General features: G+C 51.3%; 2 protein-coding genes across 4 annotated transcripts in view, besides 1 other annotated feature; both read left to right on the top strand.

Moving 5' to 3' along the window:
• Positions 1-24,622, top strand: part of PEDS1 (plasmanylethanolamine desaturase 1) — a 35,470-nt gene extending 10,848 nt beyond the window's left edge. For 2 of the 3 annotated variants that reach the window (NR_027889.2, NM_199129.4), the window contains 4 exons: positions 11,929-12,020; positions 13,186-13,330; positions 14,689-14,901; positions 17,697-24,622. Coding sequence is in view for 2 of the 3 variants with exons in the window: in NM_199129.4 (NP_954580.2) it covers positions 11,929-12,020; positions 13,186-13,330; positions 14,689-14,901; positions 17,697-17,818 (572 nt within the window). In the remaining variant the exon portion in view is untranslated. The remainder of the gene's footprint in view (positions 1-11,928; positions 12,021-13,185; positions 13,331-14,688; positions 14,902-17,696) is intronic. The other variant, NM_001162505.2, reaches the window with a different exon arrangement.
• Positions 1-26,137, top strand: part of PEDS1-UBE2V1 (PEDS1-UBE2V1 readthrough) — a 72,600-nt gene that overhangs the window by 10,848 nt on the left and 35,615 nt on the right. The window contains exons 3-5 of the mRNA NM_199203.3: positions 11,929-12,020; positions 13,186-13,330; positions 14,689-14,901. Of these exons, the coding sequence (NP_954673.2) occupies positions 11,929-12,020; positions 13,186-13,330; positions 14,689-14,901 (450 nt within the window). The remainder of the gene's footprint in view (positions 1-11,928; positions 12,021-13,185; positions 13,331-14,688; positions 14,902-26,137) is intronic.
• Positions 3,844-4,531: an enhancer, noted in NCBI's record as "H3K27ac-H3K4me1 hESC enhancer chr20:48754882-48755569 (GRCh37/hg19 assembly coordinates)". NCBI's record gives its function as "activates a minimal SCP1, AML or CMV promoter by ChIP-STARR-seq in naive H9 embryonic stem cells {active_cell/tissue: H9 hESC(naive)}" and the evidence as "EXISTENCE:reporter gene assay evidence [ECO:0000049][PMID:30033119]".

The raw sequence follows: 26,137 nt of genomic DNA, 5'->3' as shown, positions 1-26,137 counted from the left end.
CTTTTGCATGTGCCATTCTCTGTGCCTAGAACTCTCACCTACATGGCTCACTCCAGGTGTCTGCTGAGAGGTCACCTCCTCTCAGCAGAGGAGGTGTGATTGCCCCACAAAACATAGCAGCCCCAGCCAGGTGTGGTGGCTCATGCCTGTAGTCCCAGCACTGTGGGAGGCCGTTGGGGCGGGGGGGGGGGGGCGGATGACTTGAGGTCAGGAGTTCGAGACCAGCCTGGCCAACGTGGTGAAACCCCATCTCTACTAAAAATACAAAAATTAGCCGGCCGTGGTGGCAGGCGCCTGTAGGTCCCAGCTACTTGGGAGGCTGGGGCAGGAGAATCATTTGAACCCAGGAGGCGGAGGTTGCAGTGAGCCAAGATCACGCCACAGCACTTCAGCCCAGGCAGCAGAGCGAGACTCCGTCTCAAAATAGCAGGCCTGTCACACACTATCCCCCTTTTCTGTTGTTAACACTGTGTCCACAGTGTCTTTATTTGTTTATCATCTATCTCTCCCAACATCTCTCCCAACTCAAATGCCAGCTCTCTGAGAGCAGAGATTTTTGTCTGTTTCATTCACTGCTGTGTCCCTAGCTCAAGCCTCAGGCCTGGCACACAGCCGGTGCTCAGTATTTTTTGAATTGATGAATGAATAAATGAGAGAGCTGTTGTTTATTAGTACCTCCTGGTGTTTTCCATCGGTCACTTCTTACGCTAAGGTTGTCATCATTTTCCAGATGAGGGAACTGAGGCTCAGAGAAGGGACTAGTCCAGAGTCACACTTCAAGGCAGAGTACAACATAGTTGTTAATACACTATCTCCACTCCCAGGCCCTGGATGACTCAGTTTCCTTCCTCTCCATGCACCACCCTTCCCCTCCCCATCCCCGGCTCCAAGACTGAAGGGGGCGGCTGTGCCCTTGGTCCTGCCTGGCCCTTCCTAAGGGTTCAACTCCCACAATCTCATTAAAAGCGTTCTAGCCACCTAAGCCAATAGTGCTCAGGCCAGCTAATTGAGCCATCTGGGTCTGGGGTGGGGTTGGTATATGCTGGGGACGGGGGCCGGACCAGCTGGAGGGGAGAGAGATGAACCCATCCATTGCTGGGAAGCCCAGGCAGGAGCCAGGCATGTCCCCTGCCCCCAGGGATGGGAGAGACCTGCACCCCCAGCCTCTCTGCCTCAAGCCCCATATTCAAGGGCAGGAATACAGTCTGAGCTTTGCAGCCTCATCTGGGGATGGTTACGAGCAGGCCTCTACAAACCTGGGTTTAAGTCCCAGCTCTACCACCTCCTGGCTCTGTGGCCTTGGGCCACATTGCATCTCTCAGCCTCATTTACCACAGTGTAAATGAGGCTGCTGGCAGTACCTGCCTCCTAGGGCTGTTGTGAAGGCAAAATGCAGGTGTGCCTAAGTGCTGAGAAAACCAGTGACTAAGCAGGGGCGGGGAGGGGACAGCACCTGCCAGACCACTGATCAAGGCTTTCACTTCAGCCTCGCTGGTCAGTTTAATCACGGATGTTTTGTGAGCACCTACTATGTGCCAAGCCCCATGCTGGGCACTTTTCACTCTTTGTGCTACCCTAGTGAGGAGGTTCCCATCACCATCTGAGAGGCTAAGTAAGTCACATATTGGTCCTCACCCAGGCAGCAGCAGAGTCTGAGATTGCAAATCCAGACCTGCCTGGCTCTCAGTTGAGGACTTCCCCACCAGGGCGTGTATAGCCTCCAGTTAACATTGGGAGGCCAGGCTGTTTCAGGCCTCTACGGGGGTAAAGGATGGGCTGGATCAGAGCCCAGGTGTGTGCTGTGCAGGCTGGGAGGGTGGATGTCCCAGGTAGGTCACTATCTCCCTTCCCTGGTTGGGATCTGATCTTCCAGCCACAGCCCAGGAAATCTCTGGCTTTCGAGGCTGCACAGCACCAGCTTCCCCATCCCACACATTTCTCTCTGGGCTGATGAGAGCAGACAATCCCCTGATAATGGTGTTTGCACAGTCCCTAATCGATTTAAATAGCCACCCCGATTTGTGTGTTAACATGCAGGCAGTAAGGGCACTGTGCCAGCCTGCAGAGCCTGCCCCCTACCCCTATCTCCCCAGAGCTTCCACTGTCCCAGGCAGGTCCCAGAAATCAAGGAAGGCAGAAGCACGAAAAGATGTCGAGTTAATAAACACAGACACACGTGATGCAGCATTGGGAAGCAAAATCAAGCTAAGCGGGTAGGCGGGAAAGGCCTCTCTGAAAAGATGACGTTTGCACAGAGACCTGAAGGAGGTGAGGGAGGGGCCGTGCAGAGATCTTGGGGAGGGGCATCCAAGGCACAGGGAAGAGCAAATGCAAAGGCCCCGAGGTTGGCACGTGCCTCGTGTGTTTGGGGAACAGAGCGAAGCCATTGTGGCTGGAGGAAATTGATCAAAGGAAAATTGTGGCAGCCCAGCAAGGCACTGGAAGCAGATGTTGTGGGGCCATGAGGGCCTGGTCTGGATATGGGGTCATGAGAAGCCATTGGTGAGTTTCCCACAGGGAGTTGACATCATCTGATGCTGCAGGGAAGATGGCTGGGGGTGGGGACAGCCAGGGAGGAGGCGCCTGCCATGGTCCAGCCACGTGAAGATGGCAGCCCAGACCTAAGGGTGGCCCAGACCTGGGTGGAGCGGTGGAGGTGGTGATGCGTTGTCAAATTCTGGAGGAGCTGTGAAAGGTGAGCTGCCAGAATGTGCTTCCAGGTTGGCTGTGGAGGTGAGAGAGAATTAGCTTGACTCCAAGGTTTCTCTCTTGAGAGATGGAAGGGATGAAGCTGTCATTCACAGAGATGGAGAGAGGTCATCGGCAGAGCAGGCCTGAGGGAGATGCTTGAGATGGCCGCTGTTGAGCTAAGGAGAGGTGTTGAGCAGGAAACTGGAAATCTAGGTCTGGAGGCAGGGAGAGGCAGCTGGAAATAGCAATCTGGGGGTCCGGCCGGGCATGGTGGTTCACACCTGTAATCCCAGCACTTTGGGACGGTGAAACCCTGTCTCCACTAAAAATACAAAAATCAGCTGGGCATGGTGGTAGGCGCCTATAATCCCAGCTACTGGGGAGGCTGAGACAGGAGAAATTGATTGAACACGGGAGGCAGAGGTTGCAGTGAGCCAAGATCGCCCCATTGCACTCTAGCCTGGGCGACAGAGTGAGACTTCCTCTGGAAAAAAAAAAAAAAAAAGAAAGAAATCCGGGGGTCATCTGTGTCAAGATGAAGCTCCTTATCTCCTAGGCTGGCTGAGCACCCCCAGGGGCTGAGTCTCCCGTGTTTCCAGGCTGGGGAGGAGGAAGAGCCAGCAAGGGAGGCTGGGATGGCGCTGCCAGGGAGATGGGGGGAGAACCAGGGAGGTCGGGGGAGAACCAGGGAGGGCTTGCAGGGGCCAAGAGGAGAATGTGTTTCCAGGAGTCTTGGGGGTCGACTGGGAACAGCCACCGAGTGGACCAGCAAGGTGGCCAGTAAAGGGACCTTTGGATTTAGCCACGTGGAGGTCATCAGCCACTGTGACACGCACATCGTTGTCGTGAGTGAGTGGGTGAACAAGTGAAGGCCGTAGGAGCCCTGAGCTTTTGTTCCACGTGGAGAAGGGGGAGGAAGTGTTTGGGTTGTGAGTTGGCCCTTAAAGGAGCAGAGTCCTTCGTGGACCTTGGGAGAAGCCTTCCGGGCAGAGGGCACAGTGAGTCCAGAGGTCAGGGATGAGGTCAGAGAAGTCCCAGGCTCGGGTCGTGGCCCGTCCTGTGGCTGGAAGTGGAGTCTGGATCTGACTGAGCTGGAAGGCGGTAGAGACAGGACTGGGACCCAGGACCGAAACCCATGGATTTGCCCTCAGTGCATTCACTTGGCTCCTCAGCCACGCCTTCCATCTCCACGCCAGGCCTTTGAGGTGGGCAGGGAGGGGTGAGGAAGTCCCAGCTGGGTGACCTCTGGGGAAATGGAAGCCCGCACGGGCCCAGCGACTACCTCAAGTTCCCCCGTGAGTCAGGGTAGCCTGGGGTGAGCCGTCTCCCATCCCTCTCCTTGTCCCAGTGTTCTGCGGGGAAGGGTGGTAACCAAGCCGAAGCTGCCCCCAGGGGGAGCCGGCTGCCAGCTGCCACCACCCCAAAGCTGGGACAAAGAGGCTTCTGTGTGCCTGTCTGCCACCCCTGCCCCCATTAAAGCAGCCTCAGACAGCAGCCTGGAGTCACTGCCACCGGCAGAGGCCGCAAGATCACGGAGCCAGGGGGAGGGCTCCTGGTCTCCTAAGATGATTCCTGACTTCTGTCCAAAGCAGACATCCCTCCCTGCTGGGCAGCGTGCAGGCGCCAGGCCTTGACCATTGGACAGATGGCAAGACTGAGGCTCAGCAGAGAGCTCACAGGAGCTGCGTTGGGGGGATGCTTGCTGTGTCGTGGGACCCACCGGGCCCTTTACCCAGCAGCCCATTTTATTAACTTCTCATAGTTAAGGGAGGTAAATGTCCCCATTCTCCATACCTGGGTGCGAAGTCTCCCTAACCCTAACCCTAAGGTTGCATCATCCTGAATGACTCTAGCGAGTCTCTGGCTACTCACCAGCAGCCCTGCCTTGCCCCTGCCACCGTGTGACCTTGGGGAGTTCTTACCCTCCTCTGGAAGGTCAGGATGGGGTGGGGCCTGTTACTGTGGACATGAAGTGAGATTGTCCACTTTTTGAAAAACAGACTTTATTTTTTAGAACAAGTTTTCAACTTACAGAAGGATGGGGCAGATAGTACAGAGAGTCCCCATATGCCTGGGGCACGCAGTTTCCTCCATTATTCACATCCTAAATCTTACATTAGCGGGGCACATTTGTTACAGTGTGTGCCAGTGTTGATACATTATCATGAGCTGGAGTCCATGGCTTATTCAGATTGCCTTAGTTCTTCCCTAATGTCCTTCTTCTGTTCCTGGATCCCATCCAGGGTATCACATGGCCTTTAGTTGTCATGTCCCTTTAGGCTCCTCTTGTCCAGTTTTTTTTGTTTGTTTGTTTTTTGAGACGGAGTCTCACTCTTGCCAGGCTGGAGTGCAGTGGCGCAATCTCGGCCCACTGCAACCTCCGCCTCCCAGGTTCAAGCGATTCTTCTGCCTCAGCCTCCCGAGTAGCTGGGACTACAAGCGCGCGCCAGCACGCCCGGCTAATTTTTGCGTTTTTAGTAGAGATGGAATTTCACCATGTTGGCCAGGATGGTCTCAATCTCCGGACCTTGTGATCCACCCTCCTCGGCCTTCTAAAGTGCTGGGATTATAGGAGTGAGCCACCGCGCCTGGCTGACCTTGACGGTTTTGAGGAGTGCTAGTCAGGTGTGTTGTAGGCTGCCCCTCTGTTGGTATCTATCTGATGTTTTTCTCATGATTAGACTGGGGTTACGGGTTATGAGGAGGAAGAGTTCAGAGGTGAAGTGCCATTTTCATCACATCATAGCAAAAGTACAGACTGTCAACATGACTTATCACTGTGATGACTCTGATCCCATGACTAAGGTAGCAGATGTCAGAGTTCTCCACAGTTAAGTTACCCTCGGCTGGGTGCGGTGGCTCACGCCTGTCATCCCAGCACTTTGGGAGGCACTTTAGGATTTGTGAGTGGGTCGCTTGAGCTCAGGAGTTCACTGGTCAGCCTGGACAACATGGTGAGACCCTTGTCTCTACAGCTGTAGTCCCAGCTCCTCACGAGTCTGAGGTGGGAGGGTCGCTTGAGCATGGGAGCTCAAGGCTGTAGTGAGCTGTGAATGGCACCGCCACACTCCAGTCTGGGCCACAGTGGGAGAGTCTGTCTCAAAAAAACAACAAACAAAAGTTACTCTGCTCCCCCCACCCCGCCTTTTTTTTTGAGATGAAGTCTTCCTCTGTCACCCAGGCTGGAGTGCAGTGACTCGATCACGACTCACTGGAGCCTCAACCTCCCAGGCTCAAGCAGTCCTCCCACTTCAGCCTCCAGTAGGACCACAGGCACATGCCACCACACCTGGCGAATTTTGTTATTTTATATACAGACAGGGTTTCGCTGTGTTGCCCAGGCTGGTACTGAACTCCAGGACTCAAGCAATCCTCCCACCGTGGCCTCCCAAAGTGCTGGGATTATAGGCGTGAGCCAATGCGCCCAGCCTTCCTCCCCTCTTTTTTTTTTTTTTTTTTTTTGAGGCAGAGTCTCACTCTGTCACCCAGGCTGGAGTGTAGTGGCACGATCTTGGCTCACTGCTACCTCTTCCTCCCAGGTTCAAGTGATTCTCCTGCCTCAGCCTCCCAAGTAGTTGAGATTACAGGCCTACACCACCATGGTCGGCTAATTTTTGAATTTTTAGTAGAGATGGGGTTTCACCATGTTGGCCATGCTGGTCTCGAACTCCTGAACTCAAGTGATCCATCTGCCTTGGCCTCTCAAAGTGCTGGGATTCCAGGTGTGAGCCCTGCGCCCAGCCTCCGTCCTCATTCATACTGTGCTCTTTTTGGAAGGAGGTCTCTGTACACAGCCCACACTTAAGGAATGGGAAGTTATGCTCCCAGTGATGCACTTCTTAACACTTCACAAAGCCCCAGTACACAGTGTTAACCCAACTACTGTTTTCTCATCTGTATAATTTTTATTATGCTCATCTTTCTCATTATCTGTGAGGATTAAGTGTTTAGAATGATTAAGGAGATAAGATTCGGCCTAAGCGAGGCCTTGATGCCATTCAGGGATTAAAGGAGATAAAACATTTAAGGCGTTGGCACGGGGCCTGGTAGTTATAAGTGCTCAATAAATATCAGGTTTTTTTTTTTAAAAAAAGTAGTTGACATCTTAACCCAAAGTAAATGAGGGTGGATGTCTACACATAGACTTGTACACCAATATTCACTGCAGCAGATTCAAAACAGCCCCAGACTGGAAACAGCCCAAATGGCCAACCATGGCCAGGTGGATAAATGCATCATTGTACATCCAGATGGTGGGATACTCAGCCCTAAAAATGGTGAACCACTGCTGATCCGCACGACTGCATGGCCCACGCTAGAAACATTACACTAGTAAAAGAAGCCAGGCTCCAAAGAGCACCTACCATCTGAATCCGTTTAAATAAAGTTCTAGAATAGGCAAAATCAGTCTCTGCTGATAGGAGGCAGCTCTATGGTTGCATGGAACAGGGTCAGAAGGGAGCTTAGTGGGACAGGGGAGCCAGCTGTGGGGCTGGAAATGCTTTTTTTTTTTTTTTTTTTTTTTTGAGATGGAGTTTTGCTCTTGTTGCCCAGGCTGGAGTGCAATGGCGTGATCTCAGCTCACCGCAACCTCTACCTTCTGGGTTCAAGTGATTCTCCTGCCTCAGCCTCCCGAGTAACTGGGATTACAGGCATGCGCCACCACACCTGGCTAATTTTGTATTTTTAGTAGAGACAGGGTTTCTCCATGTTGGTCAGGCTGGTCTCAAACTCCTGACCTCAGGCGATCCGCTTGCCTCGGCCTCCCAGAGTGCTAGAATTACAGATGTGAGCCACCGTGCCCGGCCTGGAAATGCTTTCTATCAGGGGTCAGCACACTATGGCCTGAGGACCAAAAACACTTGTAAACAGGTATTCTGGGAATGCTGTTGATGTCTGCCTTCACACTACAGCTGCAGAGTTGAGGAGCTGCAGTGGAGACTGCCTTGGCCTGCAAAGCCCAAAATATTTACTGTCCATTTATGTATTTATTTATTTCTGAGATGGAGTCTCCATCTGTTGCCCAGGCTGGAGTGCAGTGGCACGAGCTCTGCTCACTGTAGCCTCTGCCTCCCAGGTTCAAGCGATTCTCCTGCCTCAGCCTCCTGAGTAGCTGGGACTACAGGTCCGCACCACCACACCCAGCTGATTTTTTTGTGTTTTTAGTAAAGACGGGGTTTCACCATGTTGGCCAGACTGGTATCAAACTCCTGACCTCCAGTGGTCCGCCTGCCTCAGCCTCCCAAAGTGCTGGGATTACAGGTGTGAGCCACCGTGCCCGGCCTGCCTGACCCTTTAAAGAAAGTTTGCCAACCTCTTATATTCTGTGTAGGTATAGAATCTCTATCTTAACCTGGGGGTTGGTCAGACAGGTGTGTCTACGCATAAAAAGGCTGTGAGCTGTGTAAGGCCTATGGCCTTTACTGTTTGTAGGTTATATTCAATTATAACATAAAATGAGCCAAGGTTTAGAGAGGGGAAGGGGCTTGTCCCCATCTCATCAGGAGCCCAGAACTCGGGGAACAAGGAACCTGGACTCTGAATCCCTTGCGAGGCCCCACCCTTATGACATCCAGCCACTTCTCCTCTGTAGCTATTTCTTTCATGAAGGCAGCATTCATTCATTCATTTATTTTTGAGACAGAGTTTTGCTCTTGTTGCCTAGCCTGGAGTGCAATGGCGAAATCTCGGCTCACCGCAACCTCCGCCTCCCAGGTTCAAGCCATTCTCCTGCCTCAGCCTCCTGAGTAGCTGGGATTACAGGTGCCCACCACCATCCCTGGCTAATTTTTTGTGTTTTTTGTAGAGACAAGGTTTCACCATGTTGGCCAGGCTAGTCTTAAACTCCTGACCTCAGGTGATCTGCCCACCTTGGCATCCCAAAGTGCTGGGAGGAGTGCAATGGTGCCAGCTCTGCAGCTCTGCACTGTGCTCCAGCCCAGCCTGAAGGCAGCATTTAGAGATGTCATTAGTCCGAGCTATGGGGACAGGACCTCGAGATACCTCAGTTGACCTCATTAAGCAAGTAAAGATGCTGAGGCCTAGAGTAGGCACAGTGTCACACAGCAATATGGTAGCAAGAGCTGAGGCCCCCAACACTTGATCTAGTTCTGTCATAGCTCTTGGCCACATGGCCTTTTGTCCCTGCTGGTAGACAGAGGCAGTGCATACACAGCATCCCAAAGTATGCAGTAGGAGCTCTAATAATGCCATGGACCTGCTGCAGTGCAGTTTAAGGACACAAAAGGGTGCTGGTTTTGGAGGCAGGTCGACAGGCCTCTTCCCATCCCACAGCTGCCATTTCCAGGCCACTTGACTGGGAGGCAGTGGTTCAACTTCTCCAGGCCTCTTTCTTCATCCAAGAAGGGATGACAAATGAGGCCATCTCAGGGGATGACAAGTGCCATGAAAGAAATGAAGCAGGGAGATGTGAGCGAGAGCAACTGCCCGGAAGGATGGCTTTAGCCAGAAGGGTTGGCTGACCTTCGCTCTGAGCAAGAAGGCCGAGGAGGAGCCAGCACAGGGGATCTGGAGTGGGGGTGGGGTGCTGTGTAGAGGAACAGAAAATCCAGAAGCCCTTCTGGGGCTTCCACCTCCCTCGCCTTCTACATCCCCGCCCCTGCCCCTGGCCTGGGTCCACCCTCCCCATCACAAATGGGCAAGACTGCCCAGACCAGAGCAGGGCCACTGGGTGCACAGGCTCTGGGGCCTTGCTGAGTCCCAACCCCTTTACCTCAGCCCAGCCACTGTGCAGTGACACCCTTCAGCCTGTCCTTAGGCGTCTGTGTGCCAGGAGGTGTAGCTGCCACCTGTCCCCACCTGCCCTTCCGCCCTTATCCCCAGGAACTTGCAGGTGCCTGCATGAAGCTGTGCTGCCCCCACCCCCACCACCCCTCCCGTGCTTGGCACCTGTGATGGATACCACAGGGCCTCTGGAAAGTCGGCATCCAGTGGCTGCCCCTCACCCCAGGCCTGGACGTCAGGATTGCACATTCACAGTGACTTGCGTGCTTACTTTTGTCCCTTCAACCACAAGTCTCACTCACCCAGGAGGCATCCAGGGGCTTTTCTGCAGTCTCCACAGTACCCCCAAGACCCTGGTCCCCTGTCACCAAGGGGTTGAGGGCACCAGCAGAACTCAGAATCTTGGACAACCAGTTGACACAGACAAACCGAGTCTGGGAAGGGGTTTGTCTGAAGCCCCATGAGCCAGGGGGCCACACGTGTCATCACTCACAGCTGCCTTTGTCCTCTGCTGGACTTTACAGCGTTTCCCCATAGACATGTGTTCAGTGTCTGACATGTTTCTGTCCCTAGAGCTTATCACACAGGAGGCCTTTGTGGAGTGTGGCTTAGTTGATTGACTCAATGACAGCAACAGTAATATGGCCTGAGGGCTTACTATGTGCCAAACACTGCACTTAGTAGTGCTCTACTGAGTTCTGAATAGGTGCCAAGAGCTGGGATGCAGCCACAAGCCAGACTAAAGCCCTGGCCATGGTGGAGCCAACCTCCTTGTTGGGGGAGAAAATAAACCAGCACAAGAGCAGTCAGAGGTGCCGAGTGCTTGGAGAACAATATACATAGGAGATCGGAAATGCTGGAAGATGAGGTGGTTGCAATTTTCCATCAGGTGTCCAGGGAGGACATTTGAGTAAACATCTGAAGAGGTGAGGGAGTGAGCTGTGTTGCATCTTAGGAAAGAATGTTCCAGGCAGAGGGAACAGCAAATGCAAAGACCCAGAGGCATGCAAGGGAAAGGAGATAAAGTAGGCCTGGGCTGCAGCGAAAGAGGAGAGTGATGGGAGGCAGCAGGGGTGGAAGCCTCAGTTTCCACCTCTATAAAGTGGGAATAAAAAAGCTACCAACTTAAAACAAATGGTGAGAATTCATCAAGATCTAGCCTGTAAAGCATTTGTGCTTGGCATTGAGAAAGTGCTCGTAAATGTTAGCATCATTCCCTTTTATTTATTTATTTTTTCAAGACAGAGTCTCACTCTGTTGGCCAGGCAGGAGTGCAGTGCATGATCTCGACTCACTGCAACCACCATCTCCCGGGCTCAAGCCATTCTCCTGCTTCAGCCTCCTGAGTAGCTGGGATTATAGGTGTGTGCCACCACACCCGGCTAATTTTTGTATTTTTAGTACAGATGGGGTTTCACCATGTTGGCCAGGCTAGTCTCGAACTCCTGACCTCAGGTGATCCGCCCACCTCGGCCTCCCAAAGTGCTGGGATTACAGGTGTGAGCCACGGCGCCCAGTCGCATCATTCCCATTTTACAAGAGGAAACTGGGCACAGAGAGGCTAAATAACATGTGCAGCGTCACAGCTAGTGAGTGCCAGCACTGGAATTTGAGTCCAAATCTACTGAACCCTCAAGTGAGTGAATGGTGTTGGAGTCTGAGGGAACCCTGCTCAAGTTCCGAACAGATTGAGAACAGAAACAAGGAAAAGGCTGCTGGAGACCAAATGATCATGTTTATTGCTGATAAAAGCTGGAGGGGTGGGGGTGGAGCAGCGAGGCTTCTATCTGCAGGTAAGGTACTTTCTTTTTTTTTTTTTGAGACGGAGTCTCACTCTGTCACCCACGCTGGAGTGCAGTGGTGTGATCTCAGCTCACTGCAACCTCCGCCTCCCGAGTTCAAGTGATTCTCCTGCCTCAGCTTCCCGAGTAGTTGAGACTACAGGCGCATGCCACCACACCTGGCTAATTTTTGTGATTTTAGTAGAGACGGGGTTTCACCATATTGGTCAGGCTATTCTCGAACTCCTGACCTCAAGTGATCCGCCTGCCTCAGCCTCCCAAAGTGCTGGGATTACAAAGCATGAGCCACCGCACCTGGCCGAGGTACTTTCTTTCTAACACCAAACCCAGAAGGACATTGCTGCAGTTCCAGGCAGCACTGGTGCAGAGCAGGCTTTCCTTATATGGGGCAGAGAGAAGGGCACAGCCTGCTCCTAATAGGGAAAGGTTGAGCTGATCTGAGCATGCCCAGTTTATGCTCTCCAGACTCTCCAAGCACATGAGTCTTGGCATCTCCCCGAGCACAGCAAGTAACAGGCAGGAGGAGTGTTAAGCCTGAGGCTCCATCTTCAGGGAAGAAAACATCCCAACTAGAGAAGAAGGGACACCTTCCCCTCCTAACAAATGAATGAGCGGGCAAGTGAGTAAATGAATGAGTGATTCTGATTGGGGGGGTGCAGGGATGTCCCTTCACTCACCCTCTTGTCCACAGTTGCAGGGGCTCTCATTGCTGACTTCTTGTCTGGCCTGGTACACTGGGGTGCTGACACATGGGGCTCTGTGGAGCTGCCCATTGTGGGGAAGGTGAGTATGTTGACCTAACCATGTCCTCAAGAAGGAGGTTGGGCTGTATGGCCTTGAGTGAGTCCCCTTTCTTCTCTAAGACTGTTTCCCTATCTGAAAGATGGGAACCATCATTGCAGCCTGTCCCTCACCCCTGTGCTGCAAGACTAGAACAGGAGTCCCTTGGGATTTTGGAAGCAAAAGCATCAGGCTTGGGATGGTCCAAGAGTTTAGATATGTGCCTGCCTCATCAGAACCCCTGAATTTGGGGGTGTCTTGCTTTTCCATTGTCTCCCCTGCTGCTTCTTGCTGTTTTAACTGCATTTTATCCTGTATTAGTCACTTTTTTGGTTTTGACAGAAAATCTAAACTGGCTTAGGCAAACAAGGGTACTGATTCATGTAACTGAAGATTTCAGGGTTAGAGCCAAATTAAGGAATGGCTGCATCCAGTAGGACCGACAGACCACATTCTTCAGGCCCAGTCTTCTTCCATCTCTATCTCTACTTTCCCCTCATAAGGTGGCCAGTGTGCTTTCTCACCGCCCAGAGATCCATCCTTCCAGCTCCCAAGAAAAGAGAACTGTCCTTCTCCTTCCAGGAGAACAGCATTTCTCCTTCCCTGTAGTTTCCGCCAACTGAAGTCCCACGGCTCACTCCCATTGGCCCAGATTGGGTCACGTGCTGGGCCCTCAGGCAGTCACTGGCTAGAGGGAGGAGATGCTATGATTGGCCAGGCCTGGTCACGTGTTCTTTCTCAGCCCGGGGCGAGGTCAGCCTTGTCAGAAGAGCCTGGACTAAGGAGGGGAGGCTGTTACCCCAGCAGGTGCAGGGGGTCCAGAGGGTCCCACCTTTTACTTAGAGGGACCTCCTCAACTGCCTTGGGGTGGGGAGGAAGGGCGGAGGTTGTCTCCAAGCCCCCTTACAGCACAGGTAGGGAGACTGAGGCCCAGAGGCAGACAGTGCCAACCCAAAGCCCTTCCAGGGTCATTTCGGCTCATCTCCCCAAAGGCTGGATGGGGTCTGTGTCTGGCAGTGGGCCAGGTGGGAATGTTCAAGCATCCCGGGTGGAGGAAACTTAGGATCAAAGGCGGGAGGTGAGCCCAGGGTGAATGTGTTTAGGGGGCTGTGGAGAGCAGCTGACCACCTTAGGCTGACTGCTGGGGCTGTGTCCCCCTCAACTCCAGGCTTTCATCCGACCCTTCCGGGAGCACCACATTGACCCGACAGCTATCACACGGCACGACTTCATCGAGACCAACGGGGACAACTGCCTGGTGACACTGCTGCCGCTGCTAAACATGGCCTACAAGTTCCGCACCCACAGCCCTGGTGAGACACCCAGCTAGTGGTGGGCTGGGAGGGGGCCTTGGGGGCAGAGGCCGACCCCCAGGAGCCTTCTGGGGCTTATGTGTTTGGCTCCTTATGGTATTTTAAAAGAGTTTTCATTCATTGTCTTCATGTAAAATCAGGAAACCTGACATGAAGATGGAGGTTTCCAGCTTCTCTTGCACAATCTGCTCTGGCCCCCCTGGGTCCATGTTCCCACCTGGCCTCACTGGGTGGGAGCTGAGCTGCAGCCACTGCCTTTGACAGGACGCGTCTTTCCAGTTTACCACCGTCCCCACTATTCCTTGCTTCCCTGCACCCAACCCACCTTGTTCATTTGTGTTACCTGCCTGGCAGGGCTTCTGGGGTTTTGCTACCGTGGCCTAGTGGAAAATGTCTAGGCTGTGAAAACAGGGCCTGCCTATTTTTAGAGGGACTGGTCCCAAAGTAAGTGATTTCACCACTCTGAGCCTCAGTTGCCTTATCTGTCAGGTGGAGGTAGGTTGGGGCCCGGTCCTGTTCCAGCACCTTAACACCCATTTGTTCTTCAGGCAGCCTCCGGTGGGTAGAGGTGGTGAGGACGTGTAGTGTAGTGGGTGCTATGGCACCCTGCCCATCCCCTTCCCTGGGGGTGCACCCAGCCCCTGCTTCTGTGAGTGGTGGCTGCTGACAGCTCCCAGCTTCTCCAGGGATGGAGGGGAGGTCCCACCTGTCTCCTTGGGATAAGGCTGGAGCCAGTGACTGAAACGCCTCCGACGCTAGTCCCTTTGCCTCTGAGTGGGTCTAATTCTAAAGAGCCGTTAACACCTCAGAGCTCCTTGCAGGAACAGACTGAGACAGGACGCCACCCACCCCATCTTTGCTCTGCTCTTCCCCTGCCGTGTCTTGCTTCCCTCCCTCCCTTCGAGGTTTTTTCCTGAAGAGGCTCCCTTGATAAATCACATGCACAAGAACCTGTTTCAGGCTCCGCTTCTAGGGAACCTGGGTGAAGGCATCATTCCCATTTTCCTGATGGGGAAATTAAGCTTCTTAGAGGCAGAGTCACCGATCCAGCCCATACTGCCAAGAAATGTCGGCAGAGATCGGAACCCAGCTCCAGCTGACTCCGGTCTACATTCCCAGCCATTGCCATGCTTATGCCATTATCCTATTACACCATTACGCCTGCTTCCTGAGCAGGAGGAAAGCCTGAAGCCCAGGGCAGCACCTGAGCTTGCCTGCGGCCCTGCAGGGGGTGGAAGAGAATCCTGGGTGCTTGCCCAGCTCAGGAGCCGCCCAGGAGCAGGTGGTGAGGGCCATTTGGGGTGGGTTCCCCGTCCCGAGTGACAGCTGTGCCGGCCCCCCCTCTCCCCAACCTGCAGAAGCCCTGGAGCAGCTATACCCCTGGGAGTGCTTCGTCTTCTGCCTGATCATCTTCGGCACCTTCACCAACCAGATCCACAAGTGGTCGCACACGTACTTTGGGCTGCCACGCTGGGTCACCCTCCTGCAGGACTGGCATGTCATCCTGCCACGTAAACACCATCGCATCCACCACGTCTCACCCCACGAGACCTACTTCTGCATCACCACAGGTGCGGCCACCAGTGGCGTGGAATGGGCTTTCCCCACCCCAGCCACTGCACCATCTTCGAGGTCAGGAGGGCAGAGATCACAGCAGGAGGTCACACAGTCCTTGCCCTCTGGGAACAGTCTCTCAGGTCATGCATTTATTGAGCACCTACTGTGTGCCAGGCACTATTCTAGGTGCTGAGGACACAGTAAATGAGACTGACAAAGCCCTCTCCCTCGACTTCATGGCGTTGTGATTCCAGCCACCCATCATCCCGTATTTATTGAGCACCTACCACATGCCATGGTGCTTTGGGCGTAGGCTCCTGCAGCAAACAAAATAGCATGAATCAGCTGGGCGCAGTGGCTCATGCCTGGAATCCCAGCACTTTGGGAGGCCAAGGCGGGTGGATCACTTGAGGTCAGGAGTTGGAGACCAGCCTGGCCAACATGGTGAAACCCCATCTCTACTAAAAATACGAAAAAAAATTAATTGGGCTTGGTGGCAGGCACCTGTAATCCCAGCTACTCGGGAGGCTGAGGCAAGAGAATTGCTTGAACCTGGGAGGTGGAGGTTGCAGTAAGCTGAAATCGCACCACTGCACTCCAGCCTAGGTGACAGAGACTGTCTCAAAAAAAAAAAAAAAAAAAAAAAAACCAGAAAACACGGATCCTTGCCCTTGTGGCACTCACCATCTAGTGAGGGAGCTGGAACGAATGAATAAAATGTGTAGCGTGGCTAATGGTGCTAACTGCTATGGAGGAAAATAAAGCAGGGGTGGGAGAAGGAAGTGGGGGCTTTGCCTCTTAAATCGGGTGGTCAGGGAAGGTGACACTTGAACAAAGACCCCGAGGAGCTGAGGGACAAAGCCGTGCAGACCTCTGTGGGAGGCACTCTAGGCAGCAGGAACAGTAGGTGCGAAGGCCCTGAGGCTGGCCTTTGCTTGCTTGGTGTGTTTCCGGAATGGCAAAGAGGCTCCTGACTGGAGTTGAGGCAGAGCAATGGAAGAGGGAGAAGCGGGCAGAGCAGTGGAAGAGGGAGGAGAGAAGGGGGCAGAGCAACTGAAGAGGGAGGAGAGAAGTGTGGGAGGGCCCTGAAGATAGATGAGCACAGATTAGAGCAAAGGTAACAGGAAGCAGCAGGCCAGAGGCAGGAACATGCCCAGTGCAGTGGAGGAAGGGAAAGGAGGCCCACGTGCCATGCTCAGTTAGCAGCCAGTGCGAAAGAGGTGAGGTGAACTGGGAGTTTCTCTGGAGCCAGCTGGGCTGCTTTCAAGGTTAAGTGTATCAGGTGCTGTCAAGTCTAACTCAGGCCTAACTCTCAGCTTCTCCACATGTGCCTTTAGGCAACTCACAAACCTCCCTGGGGACCGCTTTTCTCCTTACAAAATAGGGCTGCAGCCGCCTCCTTCATATATCACCTTCTTAGGGCCATAGTGGGAATGGCAAATGCGGTGTTTGGCATATAGTAGGTACTTGATAAATTACAGCTACTATTTTTTTTTAGGTCTTTCTGGAAACAGAACTGAGAACCACAAAAAAACATTCTTTTTCATGTCCTCAATTTGTGCTCCTTGGAAGGCAGGTGGAGGGATTAGAATTCAGGCTATTTAGGAGATGGGTTAACTACTTAGGCAGGGCTGAGTTCCAATCCTGGTTTGGCCACCTGCTAATTGGGAAACTCTTCTCTAAGCCTCAGTGTGCTCATGTGGAAAATGGGACTGATATTAGTATCTACCTCATGGTGAGCTGGAAGGCTGTAAGATTGTGAGCAATATTTATTCAGCACCTACTCTGCGCCTGGCTGTATTCTAAGCACTGAGGATCAGCAGTGAAAGAACATGGTGTTTTGCATTTTGGGGATAACGTTCCAGTTGGGGATTGGGGGGTGAACAAACACAGAACAGGAAAATAGAGAATTAACGAAGATGGTTACAGGTTATCATAAAGGCTATAAAGAAATGAAAGAGGGTGGCCTGTCATGGTGGTTCACGCGTGTAATCCCAGCACTTTAGGAAGCCAAGGCGAGAGGATTGCTTGAGCCCAGGAGTTCAAGACCAGCCTATATAAGACAAGACCCCATCTGCATTAAAAAAATTGTAAATAGAGCCAGGCTCAGTGGTTCATGCCTGTAATCCCAGCAGTTTGGGAGGCCGAGGCGGGTGGATCACGAGGTCAAGAGATCGAGACCATCCTGGCCAACATGGTGAAACCTAGTCTCTACTAAAAATACAAAACTTAGCTGGGCATGGTGGTGTGCACCTGTAGTCTCAGCTACTCGGAGGCTGAGGCAGGAGAGTCACTTGAACCCGGGAGGTGGAGGTTGCAGTGAGCCGAGATCGCCCCACTGCACTCCAGCCTGGCCACAGAGTGAGACTCTGTCTCAAATAAATAGATAGATAAATGATAGATAGATAGATAGATAGATAGATAGATAGATAGATAGATAGATAAAGGGTAATGTGAGAAACCTGGGGTGCTGCTTAAGTGGATGATCAGGGAAGGCTTCCTGGCAGAGGTAGCATTTGAGCTGAGTGATAAGGCCACCACAGTGCCTGGTATATAGTAAGTGCTCAAATATAAGTAAGTGCCTGGTATATAGTAAGAAAGTAGAGGAATATGGGGGTTGGAGGCCTGAGTGGCCCCAGGCCCATTGGTGGGAGGCCCCCACTTCCAGTTCCTTGGCCGGTCCCTGTGTCCTATCCTGTACTGACTCACTCCTCATTGGGCCCCTCCAGCCCAGTGAAGGTCAGCTCTCTTCCAATGTCCCCTTGACTACTCTCTCCCATTCAAACTCCCGCTGCCATTTCTACTGCAGGCTGGCTCAACTACCCTCTGGAGAAGATAGGCTTCTGGCGACGCCTGGAGGACCTCATCCAGGGCCTGACGGGCGAGAAGCCTCGGGCAGATGACATGAAATGGGCCCAGAAGATCAAATAACTTCTCCGAGCCTGCTACCTGGTTGCCAACCTTCCCTAGCCCCCAAACCGAAGCCATCTGCCAAATTCCAGCCTCTTTGAGCTGGCCCCTCCAGATGGAGAGGACATCTCCTGGGCTGGGCCCAGGTACCCCAGCCCACCCCTCATGACACAGAATACTTGAGCCACTGATTTTTCATTTCTTTTTTTTTTTTTTCCTCGGCCCCTCCTCAGCCACCTGAGTTGCTCTATCTGCAAGCCTGACTCTGCCAGCCTCCCCTGGTAGAGAGGAGGTTTACCCACTCCCTGCACGCCTGCCGTCCCTGCCCCGCTGGGCAGCCCTTCAGTGTGGCTGGCGTTGGGGCCAGTGAGTTGCCTCTTTCCCTCCTTGTCTGGCCCCAGTGGTCTGGGGAGCCCCCAGGCACACCTAAGCGTCGTGGAGCATTGTTCTGCCACAGCCCTGCATACTGACCCCGGGAGGCTGGGCAGGTGGACAGCCCCAGCCACCACCTTCAGCCTAGCCTGTCCCCCAAGGATGGTGAAGCTCAGCAGGGGTCTGAGGGTAGCCGGCCAGAAGAGGCTGGAACCTCCTGCTCAAGTCTAGACCCCTACTTCTCTGCTGCCCCCACCCTGCCAGAGCTGATGTTTCCAATACCAAGATGTCTTCACAGGGCACAGCCCCTGCAGAGCATCTTGGTCATTTGGAAGAGGACACGGTATCCCCTCTGGCCAGAGTATGTCAGAGAAGGAAGAGTAGGGCTTTTTTGTTTTGTTTTTTTTTAAAGGTGCTTGCTTGTTTAATGTAAATAATAGAAAGCCTTAATATCTTTTCTGTAACACGGAGTAATATTTTAATGTCATGTTTTGGATGTACATAATATATTTATAACAAAGCAGCAAGAGTCTACTTAACCTTGGCTGCCTCGTGGTGTTTCCTGGCTGGGTGGGGTGGGGGGTATCAAGGAGCCTGGGACGTGAGGCCCCACTCTCGCCCCATTCCCAGCTCCCCCCAACCCTGGCCTCAGGATGAGAGCTGTCACCTGAGACAGTGAATTAATGTTGACATCTGCTCCAAAGCCTTTTGGAGGGGATTGGGTGAGGACAGTGGTCTTTCCTGTTGATCATGATGATAAAGTAATGATGGCTGATCCCTATTTGTGACTTCCTTCAGCAAATATTCACTGGCACCTGGTGTGTGCCAGGCTCTGTCCTGTACACAGGTACAGCGGTGAAAGAACCAACAAAGACCTATCCTGGTGGAGCTGACCTCCTGGGAAAAGAGTCAATAAACAAATAAATGCACATGGAAATTCAGGTGGTGATTTGTGAAGAAAATCAAACAGGACAGAACCACAGCGGAAAAGCAGGGTCGGTGCTGCTTTGGCAGGGTGGTCATGAAGGGCCTCTGAGCTGAGACCTGGGGGAGGAGAGGAGGTCAGACACGAAAGAAGTGAGGGAAGAGGCCTCTTGATGGGACAGCAAGTACACAGGCCCTGAGGCAAGAACAAGCTTGGGGCCACGCACAGTGGCTCACGCCAGTAATCCCAGCACTTTGGGAGGCTGAGGCGGACAGATCACCTGAGGTCAGGAGTTCTAGACCAGCCTGGCCAACATGGTGAAACCCTGTCTCTACTAAAATTTACAAAAATTAGCCAGGCGTGGTGGCAGACGACTTTATCCCAGCTACTTGGGAGGCAGAGGCAGGAGAATCATTTGAACCCGGGAGGTGAAGGTTGCAGTGAGCCGAGATCGAGCCATTGCACTCAAACCTGGGGGATAAGAGCGAGACTTCGCTTAGAAAAAAAAAAAAAGAACAAGCTTGGGATTTTAAGAGATGGTGAGGCAGCCACTGTGGCTGGACTAGAGTGAGCTAAGGAAAAATGGAAGACAAGGTTGGGAAAACATGGATTTGGTATACAGAGACTCATAGGCTGAGGTGAGTGGGGACCTGCTGGTCATTTTATTTATTTGTATTTATTACTATGTTTTTAGAGACAGGGTCATGCTCTGTCACCCAGGCTAAAGTGCAGAGGTGAGGTGTAATAGCTCACAGCAACCTTGAACTCCTGGACACAAACGATCCTCATGAGTGGCTGGGACTAGCACATGCCGCCACACCTGGCTTGGCTATTTTTTTTTTTTTTTAAAGAAATGGGGTCTCACTATGTTGTCCAGGTTGGTCTTGAACTCCTGGCCTCAAGTGATCCGCCTTGGCCTTCCAAAGTGCTGGAATTTTAGGTATGAGCCACTGCACCGGGTCAGGACATTATAGACCAATTAGTAACTTGTTTATTTGTTGAATAAGTAATTATAAGGCATCTCCTATGAACTAGGTACTGCGATTCTGTAGTGAACGCTACAGACATAGTCAATAGCTAGTCTAGGCTAGATAGTTTCTGCAATATTAGCCAGAAAAAAGAAAGCCTGTTGGGGACAGGGAAATGCCTAAAGGACTCCAGAGCAGTCACAGATAATGACATTTCTGAGTAGCTGGGATTACAGGCGCCCACCACCATGCCCGGCTAATTTTCGTATTTTTAGTAGAGATGGGGTTTCAGCATGTTGGCCAGGCTGGTCTCCAACTCTTGACTTCAGGTGATCCACCCACCTTGGCCTCCCAAAGTGTTGGGATTACAGGCATGAGCCACTGCGTCCAGCCATGACATTTATTTTTTAAAACGTGACCCATAATGCCATTTTCCTTTGCCAACTAGACTTTTGATTTGTGACTATGCCTGAGGGGACCACACAAGGAAGGGTGTTAGAATTCGACAACTCATAAATGACAGAAATTTAAAGTAAACAGCTAAAATAATCGTATTAGCTCATAAAACGGAAAAGTCTACAGGTGTTCTGAATTAAGGTTTGGCAGGACCCAGGGGCTCACATGATTCATCAAAACGTGGTCTCTCTAAGCTCTGTTTTTCTCTTTGAGTTGAGACTTACTAGACCAGCTCAGCAATCTCAGTGGAAAGTGCATTCCCAGTAGTTGCAGTGGAAGTCCCAGGGCAGGCTCTCATTGGTCTGGACTGGGTCACGTGCCCATCCCTGAACCAATCACATTGGCCAGTGGGGTGAAATGCTCTGGTTGCCCAGGGCTGAAAAATGTCCATCTGGATTTGCAGGGTTGTGATCACCTCTTCCTAAGGCATTACTACAAAAAGAAGTCAATGGTGGATGGGACAGGCAGCTAAATTCTTTAGAGGCCATAGGAGTAGCCTCACCACTGTGGTGTTGGTTTCCAGGCCCCACCAATCTGTGTCAGTTCCCCTGGAGCCGACAGAAAAAAAACCCTCAGCCTGAGTCCAGAGAGGTAAAGTGACTCCCCCAAGGTCCCACAGGTAGTAAGGGTAGAGCAGCCCTCAGACTCAGACCATTTCACTTCTGAATTCTGGGGGCTGGAAAAAAATCCTTCTCAAAACCAGAAGGTGCGCTGCATTGGGTCTGAGAGTGTTGGGGCCACTTGTGAGATCAGGGACTTGCAAACAAGTGCCTATGAGGGCCAGACAGGGGAAAATGCTACTTAATATTACTGAGCACTTAACTTTGCACCAGACTGTGCAGAGAGCTCTGGCATGGGTCCTGTCAAGCAGTCCCTGCAGCTCTGAGAAGTGAGTACTCTTTGCACCATTTGCAGATGGGGAAACTGAGGCACAGAGGTCATGTAATATGCCCAAGGTCACACAGCTGGTAGGTGGCAGAATCAGGATTTGAGCCAGCGTCTGACCCAAAGCCCCTGTGCTTTAACGCTCCCATTGTGGAGAGGGAGGTGAGACAGGTGGCACGTGAGAAATGTGTCCACTATGAGGCAACTGCAGCATGCCTGAGAAAGGGCCGCTGACGCTGGGGACTGGGATGACCTGGAGACATCAGGCCTAAAGGGCAGCTGCTACTCACAGCAGCTGGTTAAACAGGAGCCAGAAATCTAAACTTTAAAAATGCTGGCTCCGTGTTTAAAACGTACTGTGGGCAAAACAAAATGAGTGCATAGGCCAACTGCCTGCAGCCTCCCTCCCAGCTGCTGTGGGATGGCTTGGTTTCAGGTAGGCATGTGCTGCTGTCTGGTGGTGGCACAGGGTAGTGGCATGCAGGGCAAACATGGATTTCCAGCTCAACCGGGGGAGCTGTAGTGAACTTGCATACCCCTGTGTGCTCACTGTTCTTTAGAAGGGGCCTGGGCACATACCTTTGGGCGCCTGCCCCCAACTGAAACTCCATCACCCCGCCTTTTTTTTTTCCTGGAGACGGGGTCTTGCTCTGTCACCCAGGCTGGAACACAGTGGCATGATCTGCGCTCACTGCAGACTCAACCTCCCAGGCTCAAGCAATCCTCCCATTTCAGCCTCTTGAATAGCGGGAACGACAGACATGTGCCACCACCCCCAGCTAGTTTCTTTTTGTATTTTTTGTAGAGATGGGGTTTCACCATGTTGCCCAGGCTGGTCTCGAACGCCTGAGCTCAAGCGATCGGCCCACCTCAGCCTTCCTAAGTGTTGGGATTACAGGCATGAACCACCGCGCCCAGCCAACCCTCCTTTGATAAACCAAAAATATTTTTCAAGCTACCCACATATATATATGGGTATATATATATATATAGCAATATATATATTGCTATATAAGCAATAGGTAATGCTTGCATAGGTAAAGAATAAGAATCACGCCGGGTACAGTGGCTCATATCAAATAATATAAACAGGGCTAGAGTATGGATAAGCTGACCCTGGACAGTGGGCCAAATCCAGCCACTTGCTTTTCTATAGCTCAGAAGCTTTTGTGGGTTGTTTGTTTGTTTGTTTGTTTGTTTGTTTTTTAGAGACAGGGTCTTGCTCTGTTGTCCAGGCTGGAGTGCAGTGGCACAATCACAGCTCACTGTAACCTCAGACTCCTGGGCTCAAGTGATCCTCCCACCTCAGCCTCCTGAGTAGCTAGGACTACAGATGGACACCACCACATCCAGCTAATTTTTTTTTTTTTTTAGAGATGGGGTCTCGCTATGTTGCCCAGGGTAGTCTCAAACTCCTGGCCTCAAGTGATCCTCCCACCTCAACCTCCTGAAGCACTGGGATTACAGGTGTGAGCCACCATGTCAGCCACGAGCATTTTTTAAATGGCTGGGGGAGGGGGAACAATATTTCCTAACACAGAAAATTCAAATTCCAGTTTGTAAAGCTGAATTGGCACACAGCCATGCCCCTCATTTACATATTGTCCGAGGCTGCTTTTGCACTGCAGTGGCAGAATTGAGTCGTTGCATCGGAGACCACGTGGTCCACACAGCCTAAAATATTTACGATCTGGCCCTTTACAGAGAAAAGTTACCAACCTCTCCCTAGTCTAGAATGAAGGGTAAATTGCTCCCCATTCATGTTCCCTCAGGTACTCAGTTCCCCTCCTTAGAGGCCATCATTTTGACAAGACACTTGCAATGCCTTATGTAGGCAGAGGGGTATGTCTGCCCCACTCCTTTTCACACAATATGTAGGATATTATGCACACAGTTCTGCACCTTGCCTTTTTTCACTTAATATATTTTGGAGATAGTGTTATCATTAATGTTCACAAACCATTATTATTTTTTACAGCTGCATAGTGTTCCACCTTCAGGATGGAATGGACTTGACTTTTTTTTTTTTTTTTTTTTGAGACAAAGTCTTGCTCTATTACCTGGGCTAGAGTGCAGTGGTGCAATCCCAGCTCACTACAGCCTCTGCCTCCTGGGCTCAAGCTATCCTCTCTCAGCCTCCCATCCCAAGTAGTTGGGACTACAGGTGCATGCCACCATGCTGAGCTAATTTTTTTTTATTATTTTTAGAGACGGGGGTCTTGCTTTGTTGCCCAGACTCGTCTCAAACTCCTGTGCTCAAGCAATCCTCCTGCCTCAGACTCCCAAACTGCTGGGATTACAGGCTTGAACCACGAGTGTGTTTTAAATTTTGATAGTGCATACCAAATTGTCTTCCAGAGGCCATGCCGGTTTAAGTTCACAAGTTTTCAGAGTCCCTGTTTCCTCACACCCTTGCCAACACAGCGTGTTATCAAATGTTTTGTTCTTTGCCAATCTGATAGGTGGTTTTAATTTGCATTCCTCTTACTGTATTTCATTGATTCTAAGATGTCACTGATTCTAAGATGCATCCTGATTTCAGAAGTTCACATGTAAAAATGTGGCTGGGTGTGGTAGCTCACGCCTGTAATCCCAGCACTTTGGGCGGATCACGAGGTCAGGAATTCAAGACCAGCCTGGCCAACATAGTGAAACCCCGTCTCTACCAAAAATACAAAAGAAATAATTAGCTGGGTGTGGTGGCGGGTGCCTGTAATCCCAGCTACTTGGGAGGCTGAGGCAGGAGAATTGCTTGAACCCAGGAGGCGGAGGTTGCAGTGAACTGAGATCGCGCCACTGAACTCCAGCCTGGGCGACACAGCGAGACTCTGTCTCAAAAAAAAAACAAAAAAAAAGTAAAAACGTATAGCTTCAAATCACTGAAATACAATATGTTTTGTGAGATTGGGTATCTTACTGTGAGTTTAAAATGCATTTGCATTTCCTCATCTGTTCATGTCCTTTTCCTATTTTTCTTGGAAGGGAGGGTAGCATTGGTTAAGAGTGTAGGGTTCAAATCCCAGTTCTGCCACTTACAAGCTTGTGACTTTGGGCAAGTTACTTAACCGTTCTGTGTCTCAGTTTCCTCACCTGCAAAATGGGAATAATAATGGTACCTACCTCATAGGATAGGTGTGAAGATTAAATACATTATTATATGCAAAATACCATGTTCCTGGAATATGGCAAATGCTCAATAAATATTTGCTGTAACTGTCATCTTTGAGTTATTTTTTCTTAATGAGTTTCAAGGGCTCTTTATACGTTAAGGAAACATCCTTTTTGTCCCCCCACCTCCCTGCCCCAAACCCCAGTTTTCATTCCTTTTTCCTTGACCACAGAAGTAACATATAATACAAAATTAAGACATTACAAAAATTGTATCAGAAGAAGCCAATGGAAACAACTTAGATGTCCATTGATAGAGTGAGTTAATGAAGTACACCAAGACCCCCTGCCCACCCATCCCCACCGCTTTTTGACTGTATATTTCGGAAACTACATCAGACATTAAATAAGATGTCTCAGCGCCATGGCTAGACACACCTCAGGGAGCCATGACTCCACATAAATGCCATAGAATTTCACTAGCAAATGCATCACACATCCTGTTTGTTTGTTTGTTTGTTTGTTTGTTTGTTTTTAGATGGAGTTTCGCTTTGTTGCCCAACCTGGAGTGCAATGCTGCAGCAACCTCTGCCTCCCAGGTTCAAGTGATTCTCCTGCCTCAGCCTCCCGGGTAGCTGGGATTACAGGCATGAGCCACCATGCTCGGCTAATTTTTCTATTTTCAGTAGAGATGGGGTTTCACCATGTTGGCCAGGCTGGTCTCGAATTCCTGACCTCAGGTGATCCACCGGCCTTGGCCTCCCTAAGTGCTGGGATTACAGGTGTGAGCCACCATGCCCGGCCTCATCACACACTCTGTTAACCACACATCCCTTCTCCTCTCTGTCTTCTGCAAGTCCACAGTCCTTCCTGTCGACAGTTTGTCAGCTTTACTTTCTGCAGCTTATGCTACAAAAACTGTAGCACGAGGTTGGGGGGGTTCCTTAACTATAAATAGGAAATTGAAGGTTGTGGATAACATTATATAATTTTTGTTTTTTCACCTTTTGAATATACTTTTTCAAACTACTCATGCCTTTTACATCCCAGAGATTCCAAACCAGCCCTAGTGTTTTCCCACTTGAAAAGAGAGTTCACGAATGGACATTGTGGATCTGTCAGGTCTACATGCCTCTCAACCGAACCACTGCGTCAGCTTCCTGTATCTATTAGGTATGCTTTTTGGTGGTAGGTAACAAAAACCTACCTTTAAGAACAACTTAAGCAACAGGCACATTATCTCATGTCTTCAGATGTCTGCAGTTGGGCAGCCCTGCAATTCCTTCAGCAGCTCAGCCACATCACCCAGGATTCTAATTCTAACCATTACAACCTCATATTGTAGGAAGGAGGAAAGGGGACAAAAATAGGCTTTTTCTTCAGCTTTTTTGTTTGAGACAGTCTCGCTCTGTCGCTCAGACTGGAGTGCAATGGCACGATCTTGGCTCACTGCAACCTCTGCCTCCCAGGTTCAAGCGATTCTCGTGCCTCAGCCTCCCGGGTAGCTGGTATTACAGGCCTGAGCCACCAAGCTCGGCTAATTTTTGTATTTTCAGTAGAGACGGGGTTTTGCCATTGTGGCCAGGGTGGTCTCGAAATCTTGACCTCAGGTGATCCGCCCGCCTC

The sequence above is a fragment of the Homo sapiens genome, chromosome 20, assembly GCF_000001405.40.
Source record: "Homo sapiens chromosome 20, GRCh38.p14 Primary Assembly".
NCBI lineage: Eukaryota > Metazoa > Chordata > Mammalia > Primates > Hominidae > Homo > Homo sapiens.
The sequence above is the reverse complement of the archived record's forward strand: the minus strand, read 5'-3'. Positions and strand labels throughout refer to the sequence as shown.